The sequence below is a fragment of the Homo sapiens genome, chromosome 1 (genome assembly GCF_000001405.40).
Source record: "Homo sapiens chromosome 1, GRCh38.p14 Primary Assembly".
NCBI lineage: Eukaryota > Metazoa > Chordata > Mammalia > Primates > Hominidae > Homo > Homo sapiens.
The window spans coordinates 97,249,035-97,268,872 of record NC_000001.11 but is presented as its reverse complement, the minus strand read 5'-3'; the positions used below and the strand labels follow the sequence as shown (position 1 = coordinate 97,268,872).

At 35.8% G+C, this 19,838-nt stretch overlaps 1 protein-coding gene and 1 long non-coding RNA gene across 7 annotated transcripts in view; one reads left to right on the top strand and one right to left on the bottom strand.

The window, feature by feature from the left end:
- DPYD (dihydropyrimidine dehydrogenase) overlaps positions 1-19,838 on the top strand; it is an 843,317-nt gene that overhangs the window by 652,187 nt on the left and 171,292 nt on the right. The window lies entirely within an intron of this gene.
- DPYD-AS1 (DPYD antisense RNA 1) overlaps positions 1-19,838 on the bottom strand; it is a 227,033-nt gene that overhangs the window by 54,083 nt on the left and 153,112 nt on the right. Inside the window, exon 2 of the long non-coding RNA NR_046590.1 lies at positions 3,396-3,459. This is a non-coding gene — a long non-coding RNA (DPYD antisense RNA 1). The remainder of the gene's footprint in view (positions 1-3,395; positions 3,460-19,838) is intronic.

Genomic DNA, 19,838 nt, shown 5'->3' with positions numbered 1-19,838 from the left:
GACTGTTTGCTAAAGAGATTAATATGGATAGAAGAAATCCAGGTTTTATTCATCAAGACTATGGGAGAATGACCATGGAGGCATTTCTGAGATCTTCAAGGCAAGTTAGGTAGGACATTGAAGGCAGGGTTTCTAGACAGGGGCTCATATCGGACCTCAGCATTAGGTGCCCTGCACTATCTTGAGACTTTGTTCCCTGAATTTTTGTCCATCACCCTCAGCTTCCCCAGCAGTGGCTCAAGCAATCCTAGGGGCACCTTGATCCATCACTCCAGAAGGTATAAGCTGCAAACCTTCACAGTGTCCACATAGTGCTAATTCTTCAAGAATATAGAATACAGGAGCTCTGGGGCCATGGCACCCTCCACCTAGATTTCAAAGGATCTCTCGGTTAGCCTGGGTCCCTAAGAAGAGACTTGTCATAGGCACAGAGCCACTGCAAAGAGCTATTACTAGGGCAATGCACAGCAGAGTGCAGGAGTGAGACTACTGCAGGGAATCCCCACTTTGACATTACTTAGTAGAGCCATGGGAGTGAGGCAGTCCCTGGACCCCAGAACTGTGGTGCCACCAGCATGCAACTGTAGCCTAGGAGAACTGCGGGCATAAGACGCCAAATTGTGAGAGCTGCTGAGTGTACTGAACCCATCAAAGCCATAAACAGGGCTGCCCAATCCCTAGGGGCCCAACCCCTGCCCCAGTGTGTCCAGGAGGTGGGACATAGAGTCAAAACATATTATTCTCTAGCTTTAAAATTTAATGTTCCCTTCTTGTGGTTTGGACTTACATGAAACAAGTTACTCCTTTTTTCTTGCCTATTTCTTTCTTTTGGAACGGGAATGTCTATCCTATGCTTGTCTCACCATTGTGTTTTTGGAAGTAGATAACTTGTTCGATTTCCCAGACTGATGGGAATTTGCCTCAAGATGAATTGTGCCTTGGGTTTCCCCCATATCTGACTTTCATGACACTCTGGACTTTGGACTTAGGAGTTCGTGCTGGAATGGGTTAAAGCCATTGGGATGGAATGAACATATTTTGTATATGAGAAGGACATGATTTTGAGGGACCATGGTGGAATGCTGTGGTTTGAATGTGTCCCCCAAAAGCATTTGTTGGAAGCTTAATCCCCAATGCAACAGCAATAAGAGGTGTGAGGTGATTAGGCCATAAGTCTCCACCCTCATGAATGGATTAATGCCCATTCATGAGGGTGATTCCTGAGAGGTGATAAGCCATAAAGCTCCACCCTCATGAATGGATTAATGCCCATTATAAAAGCGCTTGAGGCTGCCAGTTCAATCTCTTTCTCTCTTGTGTGCGCCTGTGCCATTCTGCCTTCCACCGTGGGATGACACAGCAGGAAGGCTCTCACCAGATGCAGGCCCCTTGACCTTGGATTTCCCAGCTTCTGGAACTGTAAAAAATGAATCTGATCTTCAATCTGAAACTGTAAGAAATGAATCTGATCTTCAATCACTGATACCCTTTCTTCCACTTGATCAAAAAGTGGGCAAAGGATATGAACAGGCACTTCTCAAAAGAAGACATTTATGCAGCCAACAGACACATGAAAAAAATGCTCATCATCACTGGTCATCAGAGAAATGCAAATAAAAACCACAATGAGATACCATCTCACACCAGTTACAATGGCAGTCATTAAAAAGTCAGGAAACAACAGATGCTGGAGAGGATGTGGAGAAATAGAAACGCTTTTACACTGTTGGTGGGAGTGTAAACTAGTTCAACCATTGTGGAAGACAGTGTGGCAATTCCTCAAGGATCTAGAACTAGAAATACCATTTGACCCAGTGATCCCATTACGGGGTATATACCCAAAGGATTACAAATCATGTTACTATAAAGACACATGCACCTGTATGTTTATTGCAGCACTGTTCACAATAGCAAAGACTTGGAACCAACCCAAATGTCTATCAATGATAGACTGGATTAAGAAAATGTGGCACATATACACCGTGGAATACTATGCAGCTATAAAAAAGGATGAGTTCATGTCCTTTGCAGAGACATGAATGAATCTGGAAGTCATCATTCTGAGCAAATTATCACAAGGCCAAAAAACCAAACACCCCATGTTCTCACTCATAGGTAGGAATTGAACGATGAGAACACTTGGACACAGGGCAGAGAACATCAGACACTGGGGCCTGTCATGAGGTGGGGGGCAGGGGGAGGGATAGCATTAGGAGAAATACTTAATGTAAATGACGAGTTAATGGGTGCAGCAAACCAACATGGCACATGTATACCTATGTAACAAACCTGCCCGTTGTGCACATGTACCCTAGAACTTAACGTATAATAATAATAAAAAAAGAAATGAATATCTGTTCATTACAAATTACCCAGTCTATAGTATTCTGTTATAGCAGCATACAGCAGATTAAGACACCAAAGATGCAGAACCCTGAACTGCAGGACACAGCAATGATTTGTTTAATTGATATTAGATAGCACTCCTAGATTTTGTCTTGATGTCCTTGTACCCTCTCTCCATGGTGCAGACGTATCTTCTCTTAATAGATGAGCATTCTGAACACTAATGTGCTATTTTTCATTCTCTAGTTAGTATTCTCCCTTGATATGCTAAGCCAATTGGATACTGCTGCCTAGGGGCATTTATTAATACCCTTCTGAACTCAAAGGAACAAATGACACAGATTTTATAACACAGGATATCCCTGAAATTCATATTCTACTAAAAATATTATGAGCTAATTATTGTGAAACTTAGATTAAGTTTATTTATTTCTAGATGTCCCTATTAGCTAAAAAACCTGGTGATCAGCAGTAACTTTATTGTGTAGTACTATTTGTCTAAATTCATGTGACTTTAAAAGTAATTTTTACCTTTACTTAAAGCACAATGTATTTACCAATTAAAATGCTGTAGAATGCATCTCATATAGAAAGTTTAATTTGTAAACTTCTGAGTAAAGGAATCAAATTTAGACCAAAATAGAGTGATGGGGTTTTCTTAGAAACTTAGTCATCTAAGTAGAGAGTATCAAAATTTTCTAACTTATGAGTAGATAGAGTACATGTTTGAAATTGAGCATGTTAGTCAGAGACCTGGAATGATTAAAGAAAAAATTGTATTTAAAAGTTTAATAAGAAGATTAAAAGGTCACATTTATCTCAAACAGTAGTGATATAAAAACTATACACTACATAATAAAAAACAGATAATAAGATTTTTTGTACATCACAATGACACAAATTCTACCACATTCAAACTCCCACAGGTGGGACTGATAAAGACAAATGTTATTCTTAAAACAATTCTTGTAGGATATATTACATCTAGATGTTAAAATGCTCTGATTCAATTATTTATCCATTAAACATATATTTGTAAAAGAGCCTACCATATGCCAGGTGCTGTTCTAAATTCTGAGCGTAGAGCATTGAGCAGACAGGAAGCAGGGATTGCTGTGGGGAGGAGAGAATAAAAAATACATAAGAATAATCTCAAATACCTCTAACTGTTATGAAAATAGCAAAACTAGGTGGTATAATTGTGATAGAAAAAGAGATGGGACTTTAGATTAGGGGTCAGAGAAGATGTCTTTGAGAAATGACATTTGGGCTAAGACTTGTATGAACAGTGCCAATCATGCAATAATATGGATTTAGAACACCAAGAAGAGGGAAAAGGTCATGCAAAGGACCTACTACCATGAGCTTGGGAATTTAAGAAACAACAAGTATCAGTGAGGCAGGAGTCTGATAAACAAGGTGAAAGTGGTATGATGTAATTTATAACGAGGATTCCCAGTATCTAATAATGGCACTGTCCACGGATGAACGGGACAGTCTTGCTATTACTATCTATTGGGGTAAAATTGAAGGGACAAGGCAAAATATAACTGAAAACTATAAAGTTTTGTCTTTCTCATAACCATATCTTTGACACATGCTGAGGAATAACATTTCTCTGAAAACAAAAACACTTTCAGGTCTCGAAGTCATAGTGGTTTTATATTTAAGCTTTGCCTTGATCAAGAAATATCTGATGTGTGGATAAAGACAGCAAAAAGGTTGTAGTCAGCAGACCCAGGTTCGAGTCCCAATTTAAATATAAATTAGCTTTGCCTTGTGGTGTTGAATTGTGCTGTTTTGATCCATCTGAGCACAATTTATTATCTATAAAATATGGTAATTGTGAAGATCAGCTGACATTTAGGAAGCTTAAGTTAGGGACAATGATGGAAAAATTTATTACTGTGTAAAAGTTAAAATAGGATTTAGGGATGTGGCTTATGCATTTGTCTTAGCTTAGTAAAACAAATATGATTAATGGAAACGGTATTGTTTCGACAAATCACTGGAATTTTCAATTCAGAAATGTATAAAGTGGGAAGAGAAGGGTTGGCTCACACCTGTAATTCCAACACTTTGGGAGACCAAGCAGGGAGGATTGCTTGAGCTCAGGAGTTCAAGACCAGCCTGGGCAACATGGCAAGACCTCATCTCTACTAAAAATTAGAAACAAAAAACATAAAACAAAAAAATACTAGCCAGGCATGGTGGCGTGTGCCTATAATCCCAGCTATTTGAGAGGGTGAGGCAGGAAGATCGCTTGAGCCCAAGAATTTGAGGCTGCAATGAGTTCTGCACTTCAGCCTGGGCAACAGAGTAAGACTTTGTCCAAAAAAAAAAAAAAAAAAAAAAAAAAAAAAACAGAATTTTGCTATTAAGATTCAGAATTGGCAGTCATAGCTATCTGTAGGTAACCAAAAGAATCTAGATCATGATCTGGCTCTTCCATTTCAGCCTGATTCTCATTGTTGCAGCATTGATCTGATTTTATCTTTAGTCATTATTTTAGAAAAAAATAGATAAAAGAAAAAAGATAATATCAAGGGCTATTTTCAGCCATGTTATAAGTACTTGACATATATTAAAATTTTGATCATCAAATGAAGGGGGTAATTTTTCAATTATCTGAAGTATGTGTTTAACATGTTTTTGTTGTGGTGGTAGGGTTTATTTTGTTTGTTTTGGAAATATTTTGGTCAGAATCTCACCATACCCAATCTCATAGAATGTTTTGTCAGGTTCAGTGAAAAGGAGAATGTAGATGTCCAATTAATTGATATCTAATGAGGAATAAAAGTTAGAAGGCAAACAAATGTATTAATTTGGAAAAATGCTATTTTTCATATCATGTATTATACTTAATCACCATAGAGGGTATAGGTTTTCATCAGTGTACTACTGATTCCCACTATATTTTCTTAAGTGTAATTGTTTTAATGGTTCAACCCTTAAATAATAAATAATAATGGCTATATAAGCTTCAAAACCTCACAGCATCCTTGTAGCAGAAGATTCTAAGTGCAGAGTTATTAAAATTGTAAACTATTTGTTTTTAAGTTTGTGGGAATCATTACCCATCATCTCATCTGTATTACATTTGTTTTTGAATAAAGATTAACATTTTTTTCCAAGCCTTTTTCTATATTGTAATCATAGTGGGGAAATGGTATTTCAGACCTCAGATAAAAGCTTTATAGTGATTTCATGTGACAGAATTTTATCTGGGTTTCAAGGAACTCTAATAATAGCATTTACAATTCTTCTATGCAATTTCTTCTCTTCTTGTTACCATAGGAGTATGGAAAACACGTTCTTGGTTTAAAAAGCTAAAAGAAAGAAAATCAGCAGTTTAATCTGAGTATTAGGAAAAGGATCACAAATCCTGCTATAGTATTTTGTATTTAAGCTAGTTTCTGTAAAGGCCCCTGACATGCCCTCTGGGAGCTAAATATTGACAAGCATGCTTTGGCAATCAAGATCAAGCTTGTTGAATTAACACAGCTCAAGTCTTGCATTGACACTATAACCCAACACTGAGAACTGTTATCTTACCCCATTTATTTTGGCTTTGTAGGTGATACTTTATACTTGAATTAGGGATTTGCACTGTATCTTAAATGCTAGAATTGTGGATTAATTTGATTTGAGAATATACTAGCCCTTATCATGTTCACAGTGGAAATTATAAATGAAGTGTAACATTCATTGTTTTCTCTCCCAGCATGGATCCAGAATGAACCTGCTGTAGACCTAAGTCTGATATTATCTTCTCTATCAGAAAATGTCTTATAATTTTCACCTCCTAAAAAAAGAAAAAGAAATAAGAAGAATTATATTGTTCTTTATATAGCTTCTGGTAAAAGAAAATATATCCCAAACTGCTAATTCTGTAGAGGCTTCGTTCAGAAGTTAAGACAAAATATAGATCATAAAAGAAATAAAGATTATTTTTCATTACTACTCTCAAAACTTTAGAATTTTAAAAAGTTAAAATTAATTGTCTTCAAGTTTTAGTGGAAAATGTAACCCATTTTTATTGTCCAGGAAGTTGAAGAACGAATTGTTAATTACTAGGAATAATAATGATAAAGGTGATGATGTTGGTAAGAACTGACATTTATTAAGGGCTTACAATGTGTTCAACCCTATGTGGAGCATTTTACATGCAATCGCTCATCTAACTCACATGAGATAGATACTTCCATTGGCCTCATTTCATATATGAGGAAACCAAGACTCAAAGAACTTAAGGAGCTTATCTGGTCATGCCCAGTGTGCGTAAAGATTACCTTTATTTTCTTTCCAATGGATATACCTACAGTCAAAGTAGTAACTAGACATTTCTCCTGCCCTTACGGAGCTCACACATTAAAAGATGAGGCAGGTGGGTATTGCTATTATTCAAGATGTTGTTCCCACTCATGCTAGAGAGAACAAAAAGAAAGGAATCTGGTGATTGAGGATGGTCTAGGAGTGCTCCCCAAAGGATGTAATATTTGGTATTAGCCTTAACAAACAAAGAGAAGAAGACAAAAACAAAAAAAAATTCAGGCAGTAGGAATAGCAGGAGAAATCACACAGAGGTGTGAATAATTATGATATTTTCAAGAAACAGCAAATAGTTTAGTGTTTAAGGAATTATCAGGTAGAAGTCACATGAATGATGAAAAAAACTTACGGAGTTTTAATGTCAGAAACACACTCACCAGCTGATGACCTCAGTAACTTCACTGTGAACTGAAGATAATGCCAAAAATCAGACTTCATAGAGCTATTATGAGGAATAAATTAGCTAATGTATGCCAAATGCCTGCCTAGCCTAAGTTCTCAATTCTAAAAACACAGTTTTATCTCTTAACTAAATTCATACCCTTTGCTACCTTCAGAAGTAATTTTGGAACTGCCATCTCAAACTATTTTCTTTAAATAAAATAGTCATTTGGCACAATTTCCCTTTGAATTTTCCTGCTTGGCAAGTTAGGAGAGAGACACAAATCGTTCTTTTTTAAAAAAAAAAAAAAAAAAAAAAAGATGCATAGTCTTTTATCATTTTCTCAAAGAAAGTCATCATAACTTCATCCACACTAGCAAGTGTCACTTGATACTTAATTTTCTCATATTTGTGCAGTTGGATCTCTACATTAATTTTGGATAGATGTGATTGCAGATACATATATTTACAATAAAGTAGCTGTCATAAAAATAATGTATTCTAAAGTTAAAGGTGTCCATCACAGTGCCCAGCGCATAGAGGCATCCATTAGCTCCCCTTCCCTTTCTTTCCTTTCAAATTTATATTAAAAGCCTTTTCTGAATCTACTTCGAAAAGCTACATGGAAAGAGAACTCCAGACATTTTGCCAGTGACTTGTTTGTCATGTGTTTGTCATACGTCTTCACAATTCTAGACTAAGTCTTCACAATCCAGCAACTATTTACACCCCTATCTACAATTCAGTGATCATTTACAAACTGTTTACTTATGGTGAACGATTATCTCTTCATTCTGTGAAAACAAAATATGTGTTCTCACTTGCATGCCTTCTTTGAAAACATTTCTGAAGTTTGATATGCCTGTGGTCCATTTATCTGATTTTGTACTTAAAATGCTTACTGCCTCCATGTACTTTCTGGAACTTGCCTGCTCTCTGAACTCCCTCTGGACTGTCTGCTACATTCCCCTGGCATTTAGATTTCGTACATTATATAGTTATGTTCAGTCTGCAGATCCTCTCTCCAGCAAAATATAACTCCATTTAGGTTAGGAACCTGATTTTTCTGTTTATTTGACACAGAGTGAAGTTTTGCTTTGGAAAATGAAAATCACCATGTGTCCTTTTGTTTTGTATTTGAGTGTTTTTTGTTTGTTTCTACTAAACCACACATTCAATAAAGTTTATCCATGCAACTATTTCATAAATTACTGAAACATTCTAATTTTATGGTAATTTTAAGACTTACACAAATATTTTTCAATTGTATACTTATACAACAAATTAATATCTTCTCAAGCAACACTTTTAATAATTATTTAAATTTGTTACTCTTCAGATTAAATGACCTACAGCCATCACACCTCTCCAGAATACTTTCATTGTCTTTTTTGGCTATATCTCTATATTTTATTTGTTATAAATATGATAGTACAGAATACTATCATATAAGTTTCATTACCAAAAAAGATACAGAAATCTTAAAAACTAAATATTTAGAAACTGATGTAACTAGTTATAAAACCATAATTATATAAGAGAGTATTCTTTTATAACAAGAAGTCTTCACACCTGTCATCCAGTGTTTTAATGCCTATAGTACTTATTAGCTGACTATTTCTATTATTACCATTTTACAAGCAAGTGCCATTCTTGAAACTGATTGATGTTTAGGAATAAAGCACATTTATTACATGTTGCCAACTTCAGAAGAGCAATCTTATAACCTACAGCGCTTTTTGAGAAGTGATGATACCTTATATTTCTGGAACTAATCACTGCTAAAGAAAGTAAAAAGGTGAAAACATAATTTTTTTTCTTGTGAAGACCTTTCATTGCATTATATGCCATTCAACTATAAAGTGATTATAGTGTTTTATCTGCCAAGAATGACAGTGGTGAAAGGTAACTTTATGTATATATGTAAAGAGATGTGTACATATCTATCTATGTCAACCATTGCCCATATCATCTTCCAATTTCAGTCTGGCTAGTCTGACTTGTACAGATATAGAAGAAGGATGAAAATTGAAAGCAAGAAATGAAATTCTTGTTGTATGTAATCAAAATTTGTGATGTTACTATAATTGTTTTATTATTTCACTGCTTCTTCCAAATCATTATTGTACAGTTTTCACTCACCAGTCTTTGAAGTTCTTGCCTCCATTATACCATCTTGACCTTATACACTGACTTTGCCTCCCATTATGCCACCTGATCTCATCTGCTAATCCTAAGTCACTGCCCAACCTTGATTGAATACTTTGATCCTTGGCCACTGGTCTTTCAATTTCTGCCTGTGGTACCAGCTACTTAGGAGGCTGAGGCAGGAGGGGCACTTGAGGAGGGGTTCGAGTCTGCAATGAGCTATTGATCACACCACTGTACTCCAGCCTGGGTGAAAGAGCAAGACTCTGACTCAAAAATAATAATATTTTTAATCGGTAAATTCCAGTTTGTGGTTGCTGTTAAGAGAGGAAAGGAGAATGTATACCAAGCTTTTTATGATCCTAAAGTTCATACACAGTTTTCAATTGAATAACATTTTAGCAAACTCTTTCTAGTAGTCAGCATTGTCACAATCTCTTTGAGCTCTAGGATCCTATTTATAAATAAGGCATTTATAGAATCCCAGTTTTACAGTACTGGAGATACCATGCATGGCAAACCAAAACATAAGTAATAGGTTATATTTCATGTTTTTAAGTAGCTCAGCTGTTTTCCATCCAGTTAGCCTCAGGTATTTACCCAAACTCAAATTTGTTATCCTCTAAATACTTTAAAAATTATCACAGTAAATGGCATTAACCTGAGTCCTCTTGACACTGTTGACCCTTTTACTCTGCATTTCTAATTAGTCACAAGGTTTTATATAGTCCATCTCCGAATGTGAATGAAATCTTTTATGTCATTTTCTATCTTATATAGGCTTGACTTAGTCCAAGCCCTTGTGTTTATAGACAATTCTTAAATGACCATCTGCTAATCACTTTCACTTTCTTGTCCTTCTGGTCCTTATGCAACACCACCATCATATACAAAGTCCAAAATACAATCTTATCTGGTAACTACCTTGCTCAAAATTCTCAGAGGCCCTCTCACTTCTGTAAGAAACTGTCCAGAATGCTGAATGCAGAGTATAGGACCCTTCACAAACAGGCCTCATTGCATCTCTGCCTTAGTTTGAGTTCTTACAAAAGCAAAGCCTGAAGACAAGGACTTGGATGAAAGTGGCCTATTTGGGAGTTGATCTTGGGAAATAGACATCAGGGAGGAGGAAATATGAGACAAAGAAGGAGCAAAAGTCAACTTAAGCAGGTATCACTTTTAGATCACAATTATGAACTCCTAGAAAGTGTGCAGAAGCCTTATAGAATTGTCCCCCTGAAGGATGGAAGGCGGGAGCAGCCTAAGGGCTGTCCCTGAAAGTATTTATTCACTTGCCTGTACTTTTGTGGCTTGGAAGCACAGGCTTAGTAGGCTCTTGTGGTGGCAGGAGAGGCCCTGGGACAGGGGGTACAAAGAAGTTTAGCAAAGCATGAAGTGGGGCTCTGTTTTCTTGGGGTCAGTCAGAGCTGACATGGAACTGACTAGAAGAGCTGCTGTTGAATTAGAGGTGGTCAAGGAGGCTGTAGTGTGTGTCCCAGAAATATCTGCCCCACTCTCCATCTAGCCTTGTCTCCTTCCTCTCCCTCCTAATCCATCTTTACTCTAGGCCCTACGACACACCTAACATTCCAGCCAGATCTGTATCCTTTTGCTCATGCCGTTATCTGTGATTCCCTCCATTCCTTCTCTGCATTCAAAATGCTAGTTATCCTTTAAGACATAGTTCATATTTCATCTTCAAGTAAAGATGACCCAACTAGACAAAGTACAATACACTTTTCTCTGATTTGTCATGATCATTTTCTAAGGTTTACTGGAGTCATTAACATACATTATAATAAGTTATTTATATATTCATTTAGCTAGAGTGTACATTTCTTAAAGACAGGGATAATGTCTAACTCCTATTTATGTCACCAGCTCCAAACATAATAGCTGCTTCATAGCTGGCATTCAATAAATGTCTACTTATTTAATGAATGAAAATATTTGGTTTTTAATGTCTAGTTTAAATTTGTATAAAAATTAATTTTAAATTTAGAATTTTTTCAAATTGATGGTATGAAACTTTTTTTAAATTGAAAAAATAGCTGGGAAGATATACTTGTACCATATATATACACATATACATACACAAATATATATATACGTATACATATATACACACACATATACATATGCACACTATATAGAGATATGGTATATGTATATTTACATAACTCACGTGCTCTCTCTCTCTTTCTCTCTCTCTATATATATATATATATACGTATGTATATGTACTTTTACTTTAGTACCAGTAGTAAATATCAAAATATGCTCTCAGAAAATACATTTCAGGTGTCACTTATAAAAATATAGGTCTCATTTATGTAGTATAAATACATCTGAATGTTTTACTAGTTGGAGTAGTTTGGATTCTAATAACAAGATATCAAATATAGAGATTTTATAAATAGGTGAGTATATAGTATATTTTCATATTATCCAACCTATTATTTTTTTAATTATGTCACTTTTTTGTTGAGTACATTCCATAATTTTATAATAATTTAGTTTTCTTCTTTCAAATGCCAAATGTTCTAATCAAAAAAACTCAGAATTTTTCTTTCCATTGTGGTATGTTAAAAGCACATTGTTTTTTGTATGTCACAGTGCACTGAGTCTTCTGATTTCTTTTTACCAATTTTTGGCTTTGTGATTTCCAAAGGAACTTGTTGGTAATCATTGCGTAGTGTGAAGTGGGAAGGTGGGTGGGCAGAGGAAGGGTGTAGATATTTTAAAGTCTGGTTTGTGGACAAGGATATGTATTACAGATAGACTACATGATTTTACATCATATGTTCCAACTATTGACAGATTTATAAAATTATAAAGACTGAGGGACTTTAAGCAATCCACACTTAATTTTGTTCTTAGTGCTAAGGTGTCTGAGGAGAGGGGAGAGGTAAGGTAAAGATGGGAGATAAAGGAAAGAAGAGATGTTAGAGAAATAAGAGGAAGTGTATTAGTCTGTTCTCACACTGCTAATAAAGATATACCTGAGACTGGATAATTTATACAGGAAAGAGGTTTAATGGACTCACAGTTCCACATGGCTGGGGAGGCCTCACAATCATGGTGGAAGGCAAGGAGGAGCAAGTCACATCTTAACGTGGATAACAGCAGGCAAAGAGAGAGCTTATGCAGGGAAACTCCTCCTTATGAAACCATCAGATCTCATGAGACTTATTCATTATCATGAGAAGAGCATGAGAAAGACACACCCCCATGATTCAGTTACCTCCCACCGGGTCCCTCCCACAACACATGGGAATTGTGGAAGCTACAATTCAAGATGAAATTTGAGGGGGGACACAGCCAAACCATATCAAGAGGGAAATATAAAAGAAAGAGAGAAGGAAGGATGAGGAAGGGAGGGAGAGAGAAGCTTGGGAGCTATACAGCATTGTTTCAGAATATAAAGACTGCTATTATTGGGTATGCTTAACAATGGAAATGTTTTACTAGCGCTTTTATTAGCGGGCAATAAAAGACATCCTGGAGGGAAATAATTCAGTCACTGTCAGACGTTCCCACTTCAACCATAGGCCTTCAACTTTTGGTAGGAACATAAAGTCTTAAAATAGGCAAAACTGAAAGCTGTCATAATCAACTATCATCAGTCATCAGTCAATACTAATTTCTTATAGAAATAGCATTAATTCTTTTCATCTAGGAGATCTTGTTTATAAAGGAGAGAAATTGTCACCCATTTGGGCTAGCCCTGCCCGAAAATGAAATGATGAACTTGACTTCTCAAGCCCACATGACTTCTAGAGCATGAGATAGTCTGCTGTTCTGCTGCTGAAAGTCAGCAACCTAGCATAGGGATAAGGAACGTGGACTCTGGCGCTAACTGCTTGGGGTAAAATCCTGGTGCCACCACTTACCAGTTTCCCCTGGTTAGATTACTCAGCCACTCTAGATTTGTTTTCCCATCTGAAAAAAAAAAACGGCAAAAATAAAAATACCTACCCCTCTGTATTAGTCTGTTTTCATATTGCTGATAAAGACATACCCAAGATTGGACAATTTACAAAAGAAGGAGGTTTAATGGACTTACAGTTCCACATGGCTGGGGAAGCCTCACAATCATGACAGAAGGCAAAGAGGAGCAAGTCACAACTTACATGAATGGCAGCAGGCAAAGAGAGAGAACTTGTGCAGGGGAACTCCTCTTTATAAAACCATCAGATCTCATGAGACTTACTATCATGAGAATAGCAGGGAAAGACCTGCCCACATGATTTAATTACCTCCCACTGGGTCCCTCCCACAACATGTGGGAATACAAGATGAAATTTGGGTGGGAACACAGCTAAACCATATCACCCTCCTAAACACTGTGAAGATTAAATTACTTAATATTTGTATAACACTTACACTAGAGCTTGTCATATAGGAAGTGCTGTATAAGTGTATGCACTTATGCTTATGAAACTGGGCCTTTGTCCCTGAAGCTTTGCTCCCTGAAGACTTTGATTACATGAGCCTTCTCTAATAAGTGGGGACATAAAATAAAACATATATTATCTTTGCAGAAACACCTCAAACAGTGCATTTCATTCATAATTTGATACTCAGGCATGCCCTAAACTCTCAGAATGACTTAAGATAAACGTGATGTCTAAATGAAGCCAATGTAGGTGGTGATGATGAACAGTTTACCACAACCACAGAGCTTTTACCAGGTGTTAAGCATCAAACCTCCTCTTCCACCTTCTGATCTGAACTTCCACATACCAAAGCTCTAGCATCAAAACTTCGGTTTTATCTTCTGCGTCTTGGCCTCTTGACATACACTTAGCAAGTGAGATCTTTTCTTCTTGTTTTGGGTAAGTCTTCTGAAGTAGGGAGTGTTGAAATAAATGGCTTATGACATGTATAGTGTTGAAATAAACGTTTATTTTAACACTTCATAAGTCATGAGCCATTTATTTTAACAGTTTTCACTTGAAGTTTTTAAATAATAGGTTTTATACAGGGATGTGTCATCCACTCTGTTTAATGTAAAAGTGAATATGTAAATACATCCATCTATCTAATCTGGATTTTACACCCTTTGGCTGCCAAACAGCCTGGTTGCCATAGTTTCTGGAGTAACCTGAAATTAAATTTTCTTCTCTTTCTCTTTCTGTTGATAGGTAATTTGATGGTACATAAGGTGATTGGACATCACTCCATTAATGGACAAATGGTTAAATACAGTTTTTTTTTCAGAAATCTAAAAAAGTGTCAGCAAAGACCAGAGTTGACAGTTAAATGCTTTCGTAACTAGAACAGCTTTTACTAGAAAATGTCAGGATTTTTCCTTTCGTTTTTAGAATTAATAGCAACTTGTTGCAGGGTTATTTTTGAGCATTCATACAAATAAGTATATATATAAAAAGTATATGTACAGTGCAATGCCTAGAGCCAATAGGTACATACAAATATCAACTTATTGAAGGAAGGCAAAATGTTTGTGAAAAACGGCCCTAGTTTGGGAGTCAACATATTTGGGTAGAATCTGAGACCTTCCAGTTACTCTTATAAAGACAAGATATTTAACAATTTTTAGCATAAAAAGTGATAGCTCCTGGAGATTCTGTGAGATTTAGATAAAGTAACTTAAGTAATATTAATAAAAGCCTTAATAGAGTTCTGTGTGCATATTTAGTTCATTCAACAAAGGATAGTTATTGTTATTGCTATTATTCCTTGCTAGGAAATGGCAATTAATTAAAATAGCTATGAATGTTATATTTTTAAGAATTATTTTCAATATTCACAAGTTTGTGTCCTTGTTTTTCCCAAATAATATAGGTAAACTGATATTTTTATAAGAGCAAGAAGAATCCAAGTGTTATATAGGGGAAACTTTTAAAAATAAAGGTTTATTTTTTAATGATTTTAGACTTACAGAAAAGTTGAAAAGATAGTGGAGAGAATCCCTATATACTTCTCATCCAATTTACCCTGTCTCTAATTACAAGGAGTATTTTAAGAATTTGTCAAAGTAATACCTTGTGTTGGAAAGTTTTTGTGCCAAAACCGGAATTTAAATGCTAATAGTGATGGGAAATGAATGGAACAAAAACATTGTGAGATGGAGGATGAGAATGGCACAAGGGAACGATGCCACGAGAAGGGAAATTAAAGGGAAACACTTAGCAAAACCTTAGCTCTCACAAAGACTTCTCATTTTTCCATACATAAAACAATACCCTCACATATCTAAGTTTATTGAAAGAGTTAGTTGAGACATGAAAGGGAAATGTTTGCTTTTGCTTTCAGATACTAAAAAATCTTTTAAAGAATAATTAAAAGCTGAGAAGTAAAAATGCTCCAGAAAGAATACAAATACTGGCATTCGTTTTCCATTTGACATTTTCCAATGTCTATAAATGCTATTGATTTCAAATTCTAAATTATTTCACTTCTGAACACGCCTTGTAGGATTATTACAGTGCTATTTGTGTGGGCTTGTAATCATTGATTGTGACATTATACTCTCCATAAATGTGCCATTGTGAATAATTAAACTTGTTAGTATTTTGTTTGCCTACAGCCTTTAGAGTGATAGCCCGTTTTTTGGCAATCATAATATGTTTCTCTAGTTCAGTTTGTGCTGGATATGGGAAATACATCATTTTTTTCTGAAACTTTTTCAATACATTTCCATTTTCAAATTTTAAATTTTAAGAACTGCTTCATAATATATTCAGCATTTAGTAAATTAGAATTCTGGGAGTCTTATGATTTGTATTTCGAAGTTTATGAATAAATAATCTTCTAGAGTGAAAGCAGATCTTTTTCATACCAGTTACTACCTGTGAAAACACTTGCCTAGAGTAAAACAAATATTAGTGTTCCAAAAATATATACATTGTGACCATTGGCCCTATTTACACTGGATTGCAAATATACTTGAAAAAATTTGAAAGTGTTATAGTTTAATATGATTTCTGTTGACTTCTACACAATTACAATGAGTCTCTGAGCTCTGTTGAGAAAAACAGTATATAGCGGTTTTGGCAAAGGTTACTGAAAAATGTCTCTCCCCTCAAGGCATGGAAACCATGCTCTAGCTCTGCCTCTGTAACTAGATTTAACATATCTGTGATGCCCAATGCCCAAATCTGAATGGTCGAATGCTGTTTGGAATTATTATACACAATTTAAGCATTTGGACGATGAGACACTTATGTCAACAATATAAATTGGAAAAAAACAAGAAAGAGCATCTACGAATGTGGAAAAATATATGCATCACATTTTGCTTAGATATGTGCATTAGACACAGACTATATATCCTTTCCCCACCAAGTTGGTCCTGACAATAGGCTGTCTCCTCTTCTTGCAAATGGAAGTTAGCTAACTGCCATTTGGCAATAAGTTGAGTCATCCAGGGTTGCACACTGGCCAATTTGCCTGCATATCCATGCCAGTAGACAAAGTAATGACCTCAATTTGACAAGAGCCTGAAATTTCATCAGAAAACATTAAAGATTGAAAAAATAGCAAATAGAGAAAGGATACTTCATTACAAATCCACCATAGACTTGACATAACTATGAGCCAAATATTCCTTAAAGATTTGTCTGGGAAGTTAAGTTTATGACTACAAGGTTTTAATAGGAATAACACCCTTGAGTGACTCCTCTCTCGTTTTGGAGAGGTAAAGATATACTCAAATACCAATTTGGGCATAAAGTGCAGAAACAGACATTCTCATTATATGTTAACAATACTTGTGATCAGTTGATGGCATTTTTTGAAATTTGGCTCTGGGGTCTCACTTAGCACTACAGTCAGCAAAGGGCCAAACTGCTTCTTTGGTTCATTGAAGCTGTGCCTTTCTAAATAGAGTGATTTTTAGCATGCCTGGCTAATTCAAGAGTTACGATTTAGAGGTATAGTCTAGCCGTAATACCTGTCTTTATATGCTCATCATTTTGTACTCCATGTGTCCTTATTCTTAGTAACTAGTGATTTATCACTGACAATGTGTGTGTGTGTATGTGTATGTTTGTGTGTACGTGCTTATATGTGATATATGTGGCTTCTTTAAAAGCATTGCTCTCAAGAAAATTTCATGGAGATTACGAACATTAACAAGAGCAACACCACCATAAAAATTGCTCTCACTGGGTCATCTAAGTTGACATTGATTTACCTTACATGATGTACTGTAGATGATGATCTTCAGTCCCATTCACCTTTAAAATATAAGCTCACAGATTCATTTTTTTTCTTTTTTTCTTTCTTTTTTTTTTTTTTTTTTTTTTAGACAGAGTTTCACTCTTGTTGGCCAGGCTGGAGTGCAATGGCGCAATCTCGGCTCACTGCAACCTCCGCCTCCCAGATTCAAGCGATTCTCCTGCCTCAGCCTTCCAAGTTGCTGGAGAGGCGCCTGCCACCATGACCAACTGATTTTGTATTTTTACTGGAGATGGGTTTTCACCATGTCGGCCAGGCTGGTCTCGAACTCCTGACCTCAGGTCATCCACCTGCCTTGGCCTCCCCAAGTGCTGGAATTACAGACATGAGCCACCGTGCCCTGCCACAGATTCATTTTCTATTTGCAAATGGGAAGATGTCCTCATATTTCATAAAATTAAGTATTTGAAAGATTCTGACCATCAAAAGAATTTTTTAGAAGTGGATTCATATAGGAGATGCTCACTTTTGAGATGGACATTTTGCTACTTCTTATTTATGTATTCATATATTTTTATTTTTAATGGAGTATAGTTAAATACAATATAATACACAGATATGATATATGTTCAGATAAGTTAGCTTTCAAAATGATGCACATCTGTAGTAACACAATCTGAAACAAGACAGAGGATATTTCCTTCACACCAGAAAGTTCTCTTGGGTTGCTTGCTAGTCAATTTCTCCATCTCCAGCTGAGACTTATACCACCATAGACTCTTTTTATCTGTACTAAAACTTCATATAAACTAAATAATATTCATTCTATTCTCTCTTTCTCTTTCTTACCTTTCTTCCCTGCTACTTCCATGTGTGTGTGAGTAGGGGACATGTCTGGCCTCATTTACGTTCAATATAATTTTTAAAATAATATTGTCACATACATCAGTAGAAATTTCATTTTTATTGCTAGTAGTTTACATTCTACTGATTGACCAAAATGTGTTTATTCATTCTCCAATTGATGGATATTTCAGTTGTTTCCAGTTTTGAGCTGTTATGGGTAAGGCTGTCATGAACATTTTTGTACATATACTTTTTTAGTTCTGTTTTCACTGTTGAGTGAATATCTAGGAAAGAAATTGCTGGGTGATAGGATAGATGTATGTCATTTTTTAAAGAAACTGTCAAACAATTATCCAAAGTGATTTATCTTTATTTATTTATTTATTTTTATTTTTTATTTTTTTGAGATGGAGTCTTGCATTGTTGCCTGGGCTGGGGTGCAATGGCGTGATCTCGGCTCACTGCAACCTCCGTCTCCCATGTTCACGCGATTCTCCTGCCTCAGCTTCCTGAGTAGCTGGGATTACAGGCACACACCACCACACCCGGCTTATTTTTTGTGTTTTTATAGAGACAGGGTTTCACTATGTTGGCCAGACTGTTCTCCAACTCCTGACCTCGTGATCCGCCCGCCTTGGCCTCCCAAAGTGCTGGGATTACAGGCGTGAGCCACCATGCCTGGCCGTGATTTATCATTTTATACTCCTTCCAGCAGCATGTGAGAGTTCGTTTTGTTCCACATTGTTATCAACATTTGGTGTTATCAGTCTTTTGGATTTTTAGCCATTCCTGTGGGCCTAAAATGGTGTCTCATGGTGATTTTAATTTCGAGTTCCCTGATGTGGAACACTTTTTTATGTATTTATTGATCATTTGTATGTCTTTTTAAAAAGTATTGTTCAAGTATTTTGTCTATTGTAATCTTTTAACTGTTGGTTTCTAGTTCTTCATGTATTTTACATATGAGTTCGTTTTAAAATATATGTGTGTGAATATATTTTTTTCTAGACTTTGGCTTCTTTATTTTCTTAATGATGTATTTTGTTCAAGTGTCCAGTTTATCAATTTTTTTTTTAAATTAGTCGTTGCTTTTAACATCCTTTCCATGAAATTTTTGCCTAATTCAGGGTTACAGAAATATTCTCCTTTTCTTCTCCCTAGGAACTTTATGGTTTCAAGTTTTACATTTAGATTTACAATTCATCTTGAATCTTTAAAAAAACTGTATATGAAGTGAGGTAGAGGCCATGGTTTCATTTTTTTCCTTTCTTTTCTTTTCTTTTCTCCCCCCTTCCTCTTAAAAATATCCTGCTTTTCTCACACCATTTGTTAGAATGGCTTTTTTCCCCTCATTGAACTGACTTCCTGCCTTGGTCAAAAATTAATTGGCCTTACCTGTGGGACTATATCAGGACTCCGTTCTCTTTCACTTATTTGTCGTATATTCTAATGCCATTGTCTTTATTACTATAAATTTAAAGCAAGTCCTAAAATGAAATCGTGTCCTTGAGTTATTTTCTTTCCTGATTGTTTTTGCTAATCTACATCCTTTGTATTTTTAAATAATGTTAAGAATCAGCTTATCAGTTTCTTCAAAGAAACCTTTTTGGATTTTTGTTTTGAGTTGTGTTGAATCTAC